This window comes from Homo sapiens, chromosome 11, assembly GCF_000001405.40.
Source record: "Homo sapiens chromosome 11, GRCh38.p14 Primary Assembly".
In the NCBI taxonomy this organism is placed as follows: domain Eukaryota; kingdom Metazoa; phylum Chordata; class Mammalia; order Primates; family Hominidae; genus Homo; species Homo sapiens.
In genome coordinates, this window is record NC_000011.10 from 63,929,291 (window position 1) to 63,938,906 (window position 9,616).

The 9,616-nt window shown below is 52.1% G+C and overlaps 3 annotated features.

Annotated features, from left to right (window-relative positions):
* Window positions 8,715-9,215: an enhancer, noted in NCBI's record as "H3K4me1 hESC enhancer chr11:63705477-63705977 (GRCh37/hg19 assembly coordinates)". NCBI's record gives its function as "activates a minimal SCP1, AML or CMV promoter by ChIP-STARR-seq in naive H9 embryonic stem cells {active_cell/tissue: H9 hESC(naive)}" and the evidence as "EXISTENCE:reporter gene assay evidence [ECO:0000049][PMID:30033119]".
* Window positions 9,314-9,363: a silencer, noted in NCBI's record as "silent region_3451". NCBI's record gives its function as "represses an Ori minimal core promoter by ATAC-STARR-seq in GM12878 lymphoblastoid cells {active_cell/tissue: GM12878}" and the evidence as "EXISTENCE:reporter gene assay evidence [ECO:0000049][PMID:35858748]".
* Window positions 9,454-9,593: an enhancer, noted in NCBI's record as "active region_4879". NCBI's record gives its function as "activates an Ori minimal core promoter by ATAC-STARR-seq in GM12878 lymphoblastoid cells {active_cell/tissue: GM12878}" and the evidence as "EXISTENCE:reporter gene assay evidence [ECO:0000049][PMID:35858748]".

Below are 9,616 nucleotides of genomic sequence, written 5' to 3' on the forward strand. Positions count from 1 at the left end.
CATGGTGGCACATGCCTGTAATCCCAGCTACTTGAGAGGCTGAGGCAGGAGAATCACTTGAATCCAGGAGGCGGAAGTTGCAATGAGCCGAGATCGCCCCATTGCACTCCAGCCTGGGCAACAGGGCGAGATTCTGTCTTAAAAAAATAACAACTACTACAACAAAAGATTACTGGGGCCATGTTGGTGGCTGGCTACACAGGCCGGATAAGAGGTCTGGTACTAGAGAGGGTTCTGGGGGTGGAGGTCCTGAAAGAAGAAACAGAGATTTTGGGAAACATGGAGCCTTGGGAGTGTGTTAGTTTTCCCGGGCTGCCCTAATGAAGTATCACAAACCAGATGGCTTAAAACAACAGCAATTCGTTTTGTCCCAGTTCTCCCAGAAGCTCAAAATCAAGGTGTTGGCAGAGCTGGTTCCTTTTCTAGGCTCTGAGGGAAAACCCACTGCGTGCCTCTCTCCTTGGCAGTCCTTGACTCCTAGTTGCCTCGTTCCAGTCTCCGGCTCCGGCTTCACATGGCTGTCTTCCTGCTGTATCTCAAATCTCCCTCTGCTTTCTCTTCTAAGGACACCAGTCATTGGATTTAGGGCCCACCCTAAATCCAGGATGATCTCATCCCAAGAGCTTTAACTTAATTACATCTGCAAGACTCTATTTCCAATTAAGGTCACATTCACAGATACAGGGTAGGGGGATGGTTAGGACTTGAACATATAATCTGGGGGGATTCTATTCAACCCACTGTGGGAGATATCTCCATGGAGGGGCTGTTGGTGTATGACCTAATAGTTCCATCTGCAGGGCTCAGGTGTTACCTCCTCTAGGGACCTTGCTTCTTTTGTGCCCTACAGCACCTGTGCCTGCCGCCATCACTGCCCATATTCCTTCAGCTAACATTTACTGAGTGTGTGCTTTACACCAGGCACCAAGCTGGTGCCAAATTTAGCACATAAAAATACAAGACGGCTGGGCATGGTGGCTCATGCCTGTAATCCCAGCACTTTGGGAGGCCAAGGCGAGGGCATCACTTAAGATCAGGAGTTTGAGACCAGCCTGACCAACATGGTGAAACCTTGTCTCTACTAAAAATACAAAAATTAGCCAGGTGTGGTGGTGCACGCCTGTAATCCCAGCTACTCGGGAGGCTGAGGCAGGAGAATAGCTTGAACTTGGCAGGGGGAGGTTGCAGTGGGCCAGGATGGTGCCACTGCACTCCAGCCTGGAGACAGAACAAGACTCTCTCTCAAATTATTTTATTTTATTATTTTATTTTTTTTTTCCTCCCAGGTTCAAGCGATTCTCCTGCCTCATCCTCCTGAGTAGCTGGGATTATAGATGCCCACCACCACGCCCGGCTAATTTTTGTATTTTTAGTAGAGACAGGGTTTCACCATGTTGGCCAGGCTGGTCTTAAACTCTTGACCTCATGTGATCCACGTGCCTCAGCCTCCCAAAGTGCTGGGATTACAGGCGTGAGCCACTGTGCCTGGCCAGTTAAATTTAAATTTCAGATAAATGGTAGTCGGGCGTGGTGGTGCGCAGCTGTAATCCTACCTACTTGGGAGGCTGAGGCAGGAGAATCACTTAAACCCAGGAGGCAGAGGTTGCAGTGAGTCGAGATCGTGCCACTGCACTGCACTCCAGCAGAGTGCTACAGAGCGAGACCCTGTCTAAAAAATAAATAAATAAAACAGAAAATAAATTTCAGATAAACAGTGAGTTTCAGTTTGTCCCACTTATGGAATCTGGCAACCCTAACAGCAGAAAGGCACAGTCACCCACTGCAGGGAGCACAGGATGCCACATGGAGCAGCGGCCCTGGCCAAGCGGGCAGGGGTGGAACAACCATACAGAGTTTAGAGCCGCAGAAGGCCTTTAACTGACCAACCAGATGTGGGTTTTAGAAAAACAGGGGCGTGTGGTGTCACAGGAGCCAAGGGAAGAACAGTGTTTCAAGGAAGAGGGAGGGAATAACAGAGCTACATGTTGCAGGAAGGGCCGGAAAGATGAGGCTGAGACAGGGAAGCACAGTTGGAGTTAGCAAAACTGCTGGAGGCACCAGGAGGGAGGCGTAGGTTGCAGGGGACAGCAGCCAAGCTGCAGGGGTTGAGGAGTGAGAGGAATGAGAAGCTAAGGAAGGAGACACAGGGTAGGCTGTTGCCTCTACAAGCTTTTTGTGTGTGTGTGTGTGTTTGTTTGTTGTTGTTGTTTTTGTCACCCAGGCTGCAGTGCAGTGGCGAGATCTCGGCTCACTGCAACCTCCGCCTCCTGGGTTCAAGTGATTCTCCTGCCTCAGCCTCCTGAGTAGCTGGGATTACAAGTGTGCGTCACCACTCCTGGCTAATTTTTTTTGTATTTTTGGTAGAGGTGGGGTTTTGCCGTGTTGGCCAGGTGGTCTCAAACTCCTGACCTCAAGTGATCACCTGCCTCAGCCTCCTAAAGTGCTGGGATTATAGGCGTAAGCCACCACCCCTGGCCTCCACAAGCTTTTGAGTAGGGAAGAGAGGCCCCCTAGGGCGGGCAGGAGCCAGGAAGGAGCACAAGCGAAGGAGGCCTGGGGAAAGAGGTTCACAGCCGGGAGGGACCCTGAGGGGCCTTAGCGTTTGACACTCTAGGTGGACCTGGCCTTGGGTGGCAGGAGGAGAAGTGTAAATTCAGATTCTTCTGGGGAAGTCCGGGGACTCTCAGCTGCCCACTCATCACACAGTGCGATGACTGCCCTCCCCAAACGTGCTCTCCTTCTCTGGCAGGAGCTGTCTCCCAAGCTGTTCCTCCGCACAGAAGGCAAAGCGGAGCACATGGCGGCCCCCGTGCCTTGGCTGAATGAAGGAGTGAATGAATACTTGGGAGCGGCTGCGGGCCATAGAGGGAGAAGAGGGCAAAGCCTGGAGATTGGGAGTGGCTGTGTCTGAGGCATAGGGAGGAAGAGGCAGCGGAGGAGGGAGGAGCCAGGGAGTCCAGGGGCCTCGGAGAGATGAGGGAGACAGAGTCCCTTGCCGGAGAGGTCGGAGCCGAGTGTGGAGAAGGGGTGCTTCAGCCCCCTGCGTGGGGGTTGGAGAGAAGGGTAAATGAGGCAGCGTAGAAAGCCTGGTCAATGTGGGTGCGGCGGGAGGGATGCGATGCCAGGGAGGGGAGAAGGGGACACATACTTTTTTTTTTTTTTTGAGATAGAGTCTTGCTCTATTGCCCAGGCTGGAGTGCGGTGGTGCAATATCGGCTCACTGCAACCTCCGCCTGTAGGGTTCAAGCGATTCTCCTGCCTCAGCCTCCCAGGTAGCTGGGACTACAGGTGTGCGTCACTACGTCTGGCTAATTTTTTTTTTTTTTTAGATGGAGTCTCGCTTTGTTGCCCAGGCTGGAGTGCGGTGGTGCGATCTCTGCTCACTGCAACCTCTGTCTCCCAGGTTCAAGCAATTCTCTGCCTCAGCCTCCTGAGTAGCCGGGATTACAGGCGCCCGCCACCAGGCCGGGCTAATTTTTGTATTTTTAGTAGAGACGGGGTTTCACCCTTTTTTTTTTTTTTTTTTGAGATGGAGTCTCCCTCTATTGCCCAGGCTGGAGTGCAGTGGCTCAATCTTGGCCCACTGCAACCTCTGCCTTTTGGGTTCAAGCGATTCTCCTGCTTCAGCCTCCTGAGTAGCTGGGACTATAGGCACCTGCCACCAGGCCCAGCTACTTTTTGTATTTTTAGTAGAGATGGGATTTCACCATATTGGCCAGGCTAGTCTCGAATCCACCCTTGTGATCCACCAGCCTCGGCGTCCCAAAGTGCTGAGATTACGGGCATGAGCCACTGCGCCTGGCCTAACTTTTATACTTTTGGTAGAGACGGGGTTTCACCATGTTGCCCAGGCTGGTCTCAAACTCCTGGCCTCAGGCAATCCACCTTCCTCAGCCTCCCAAAGTGCTGGGATTACAGGTGTGAGCCACCGCGTCTGGCCACTTTGATATACTTTTGTATGGGTGTATGGGGTTCCATTCCTGCCCCAGGCCTTGCCATCCATCCCATCTTATTTAATTCTCACAACCACCCCTAGAAGAAGATTTTACTGAAGATGAAGATGATTGCTACTGGTGGTCTCACTTTACAAATAAGGAAACTGAGTCTCAGAGATAGTAGGCAGCTTGCCTAAAGTCACAAGGCCAACAAGTAGCAGAAAGGAGATTTAAACACAGGTTGGTCCAACTCCAGAGCAGGCTCTGTCCACCACCCCACAAGAACAAGGAAGCCCTGAGCAGGAGAGATGGCCCATAATCAGGGCAGGCCTCAGACAGAAGGATGCTGCCTTGGGGCAGAAATAGGGCACTGGGCCTTTTCGGGCCTCTTGGGTGGCCTGGATGATGTCACCTCCCCCAAGGACTACTGGGCTCACCTCCCAGGCCTTGCCTGGTTTCCAGCAAATTCCAGCAGGCTGGGGGAGCAGGGAGCAAACCCAAGAGTGGGGCATGGCAGAAGGGACAGGGCACAGGGGATGGTGGTGGCAGTCATCTGTGCACTGAAACAGCTGACCATGAAGTTCCCTGTAGGTAAGGAGACCAGAAAAACCAAAACACAGTGGGGACTGTGCCGAGGTGGGGGTGGAGTCTCATCCCTCACCTTATCCACTCCCTCACACCGCCCTGGCTCTGCAAATCCTTTTCTGTCAGTTGAAATTTCCTTGCCTAGGCTGGGTGCGGTGGCTCACGCCTGTAATCCCAACACTTTGGGAGGCTGTGGTGGGTGGATCATGAGGTCAGGAGTTCGAGACCAGCCTGACCAATATGGTGAAACCCTGTCTCTACTAAAGATACAAAAATTAGCCAGACACAGTGGCACATGCCTATAGTCCCAGCTACTCAGGAGGCTGAGGCAGGATAATCGCTGAACCCGGGAGGGGAGGTTGCAGTGAGCCGATATTGCACCACTGCACTCCAGCCTGGGCATCAGAGCGAGACTCCGTCTCAAAAAAGACAAGACAAGAAAAGAAATTTCTAGGCCGGGCGTGGTGGCTCATGCCTGTAATCCCAGCACTTTGGGAGGCTGAGGCGGGTGGATCACGAGATCAGGAGTTCAATACCAGCCTGGCCAAGATGGTGAAACCCTGTCTCTACTAAAAATACAAAAACATTAGCCAGGCATGGTGGCGGGTGCCTGTAATCCCAGCTACTGGGAAGGCTGAGGCAGAGAATTGCTTGAACCCAGGAGACGGAGGTTGCAGTGAGCCAAGATTGTGCCACTGCACTGCACTCCAGCCTGGCGACAGAGCGAGACTCTGTCTCAAAAAAAAAAAAAAAAAAAGAAATTTCCTTGCCTCCTCTTCCTTCTTCAAAGATAAGCTTGGATATCCCTTCTTCCCAGCTGGCTACCCTCCTCCCACTCTCAGCTCCCTCTCCTGGTCCCTAGAGGGCTGGCAACCACAACAAATTTCCTGACCACACAATAGGGCTGTCAGGCCAAAGATTCACTCATTCCAGTCTAACTGCATTCCCTCCACGGCCTCATCCAGTCTCACAGCTTTTTTTTTTCTTTTTGTGGTAGAGACAGGGTCTCGCTATGTTGCACAAGCTGGTCTTGAGCTCCTGAGCTCAAGGGACCCGTCTACCTCAGCCTCCCAAAGTGCTGGGATTACAGGCGTGAGCCACCACACTCGGCCTCAGTCTCACAGTTTTATTAATTTATTTATTTTAAAAAATCAAATTTGATTTTGTCTTTTCTATTTATTTTATTATTATTATTATTATTGAGAGGGAGTCTCGTTCTGTTACCCAGGCTGAAGTGCAGTGGCGCAGTCTCAGCTCACTGCAACCTCCGCCTCCTGGGTTCAAGCGATTCTTCTGCCTCAGTCTCCCGAGTAGCTGAGATTACAGGTGCCTGCCACCATGGCCAGCTAAGGTTTTTTTGTACTTTAGTAGAGACGGGGTTTTACCATGTTGGTCAGACTGGTTTCAAACTCCTGACCTCAAACGATCTGTCTGCCTCAGCCTCCCTAAGTGTTGGGATTACAGGCGTGAGCCACCATGCCCGGCCAGTCTCACAGCTTTAAATATTATCTATTCACCGACTGTGCTGAAATTGTTATCTCCAGCGTGGACCCCTCTCCTGAGTTCAACTCTGACTACCCCACGTCTCCACCAGAACGTCTAAAAAGCACTCAGACCTGATGTGGCCAAAACAGAATCCTGATCTTCCCTATACTCAAGCCAGCTCCTTTCAAAGTCATCCACATCTCAATTGAAGCCACTCCATTTTTCTAGCAGCTCAGGCTAAGTAGCTTGGCTCTGATCCTTCCCTCACACCCCACACCAAATCTGCAAGTCCTGTAGGCTCTACCTTCAATGCCCTTCTCCCACCTCTGCCGCTGCTCAACCGTGGAGGCTTCATCTGTTGCCTTGATTATAGCAGTGGCCTCTGGACACTGTCCTTCTTTTTTTTTTTTTTTTTTTTTTTGAGACAGAGTCTTGCTCTGTCGCCCAGACTGGAGTGCAGTGGCCTGATCTCGGCTCACTGCAAACTTCGCCTCCCATGTTCAAGCAATTCTCCTGCCTCAGCCTCTCGAGTAGCTGGGATTATAGGCACCTGCCATCACGCCTGGCTAGTTTTTGTATTTTTAGTGGAGATGGGGTTTCACTATGTTGGCCAGGCTGGTCTCAAACTCCTGACCTCAAGTGATCTGCCTGTCTCAGCCTCCCAAAGTGCAGGGATTACAGGCATGAGCCACCACCTTGCCCAGCCTGGACTGTCCTTCCTTTGACCTTGTCCCTACATTCTCATCTCAACCCAGAAGCCAGGGTGGTTCTAGGACCTCCTCTGCCTGCAATGCCCTTTCCCCAGACGTCCTCATTACTTGCTCCCTCACCTTCAGATCTTGACTCAAGTATCACCTCATGTTTGCCTTTCCTGAGCATCCTAGTTAAAACTATAAATCTCTCTCTTTTTTTTTTTTTTGAGATGGAGTTTCATTCTTGTTGCCCAGGCTGGAGTACGACGGTACAATCTTGGCTCACTGCAACCTTTGACTCCCCACTTCAAGTGATTCTCCTGCTTCAGCCTCCCGAGTAGCTGGGATTACAGGCATGTGCCACCACACCCAGCTAATTTTGTATTTTTAGTAGAGACAGGGTTTCTCCATGTTGGTCAGGCTAGTCTTGAACTCCTGACCTCAGGTAATCCTCCCGCCTTGGCCTCCCAAAGTGCTGGGATTACAGTCGTGAGCCACCGTGCCCGGCCTTTTTTATTTATTTTATTTTATTTTATTTTATTTTATTTTATTTTATTTTTCGAGACAGAGTCTCGCTCTGTTGCCCAGGCTGGAGTGCAGTGGCACGATCCTGGCTCACTGCAAGCTCCGCCTTCCGGTTCATGCCATTCTCCTGCCTCAGTCTCCCGAGTAGCTGGGACTACAGGCGCCTGCCACCATGCCCGGCTAATTTTTTTGTATTTTTAGTAGAGATGGGGTTTCATGGTGTTAGCCAGGATGGTCTCGATCTCCTGACCTCGTGATCTGCCTGCCTCGGCCTCCCAAAGTGCTGGGATTACAGGTGTGAGCCACTGCGCCAAGCTTTTATTTATTTTATTTTTTTTTGAGACCGAGTCTGGCTCTGTTACCCAGGCTGGAGTTCAGTGGCGCTATCGGCTCACTGCAACCTTCACCTCCCGGGCTCAAGCAATCCTCTAACCTCAGCCTCCAGAGTAGCTGGGACCACAAGTACACGCCACCACGCCTGGCTAATTTTTTTTTATTTTTAAATTTTTTTGCAGAGACAGGATCTTACTCTGTTGCCCAGGCTGGTCTCAAAGTCGTGAGCTCAAGCAGTCCGCCCATCTCAGCCTCCTAAAGTGTTGGGATTACAGGTGTGAGGCACTGCGCCAGGCCACAACTATAAATCTTGACCTTCCCTGTGCTCTCTCCCTGCTTTTTCTTCCTTCTAGAGCCTGTATCATTTTTTTTTTTTTTTGAGACTCTCTCTGTCGCCCAGGCTGGAGTGCAGTGGCACAATCTCGGCTCACTGCAAGCTCCGCCTCCCGGGTTCACGCCATTCTCCTGCCTCAGCCTCCCGAGTAGCTGGGACTACAGGTGCCCGCCACCCTGCCCGGCTAATTTTTTGTATTTTTTTAGTAGAGACGGGGTTTCGCTGTGTTAGCCAGGATGGTCTCGATCTCCTGACCTCGTGATCCGCCCGCCTCTACCTCCCAAAGTGCTGGGATTACAGGCGTGAGCCACCGCGCCCGGCCGAGCCTGTATCATTTAACTAACTATGTATATTACCTATTTATTTCATCTATTATCGGTCTCCTCCTTCTAGGATACAAGGGTGGTGCCTATTCTGTTTCTTATTGTTGTTTTCCTTGCTGCTTGGAACAGTGCCTAGCATACAGTAGGCACTGGATAAATGTTGTTGAGGCCACCACTGTACTGAGCACTAAAGTTGGAATAATGAGGCTAAGCACAGTGGCTGACGCCTGTAATCCTAGCACTTTGGGAGGCCAAAGTGGGAGGATCGCTTGGGCCCAGGAGTTTGGGACCAGTCTGTGTAACACAGTGAGACCCCATCTCAACAAAAAATAAATAAAAATTGAGCTGCGTATGGTAGTGCACACCTGTAGTCCCAGCTACTCAGGAGGCTGAGGCGGGAGGATCGCTTGAGCCCAGGAGGTCGAGGCTGCAGTGAGCTGTGATTGCACCACTGCACTCCAGCCTGGGCGACCGCGAGACCCTGTCTCTTAAAAAAACAAAAAGATGGAATAATGAGCAAAACCTGAAAAAGTCCATGAAGCTTAAGTGTTGGGCAGCATTTCACTAATTTTCGTCTTGAAGCATTTCACTAATTTTCGCTCCCTACCTGGGGAGCACTAGGAAGTGAAGACTCTGGCTCCACCCCTGGAGATTCTGGGGGAGGTTGGCAGAGGTGTGCACACTGCGGAAGCGCCCCCGGCGGTTTGGATTCGGGTCACGTGCGGGTCACTCCGGTGTGCTGGGGATGGGTTGAAATTAAAACTTTCCGGGATGCCTGGTGTTCACGCTAACAGCACTGTCCACTCTCTCCTAAACAGTGCTTACGTGCCCGTCTCCCCTCTAAACCCTGAGGTGTGGCGCTGAGATGGCACCTCGCTCCTCTCTGTGCCCCCTGGGCTCAGCACCGCGTAGATGCGAGTTAATTTTTATTGAGAACGTGAATGAATGAGGGGGAATGAATGGTTAGAAGACGAATGAATGAGTAACAGGACTCTGGTTAGAAAAGGAATTTCAAGAGTCAAGATCTGGAAGGTGGGAAAGTTTCCAAAGACTTCCGCTACGCGCGCTAGGGCTCTGGAGGGGCAGGTACTTTAGAGGTCGAGACGCGATTGGCCGCCTGGGAAGGTGGCTGTGCCGCCGGCTGCTACGCGCGGGGCCAAGGAGTCGCTGGCCGCAGGGGAGGTGCTGCCAACCACCCGGCCCCCAGCGGCGCGCGACTCACGGCCTGGGTGAGCAGCCAGGCCTGGCGCCGCCGTTGCCATAGTTACAGACGCAGCCCTGCGAGGGGGCGGGCTCTGGCCGCACGTCATTCCCGGCGCGACGCTCCTCCGCGCTCCCGCCTCCTCCTGGTCGGAGACCCTCGGCCAGCCTAGCGGGCGCTCCACCTGCGCGCCGGCTCACCGC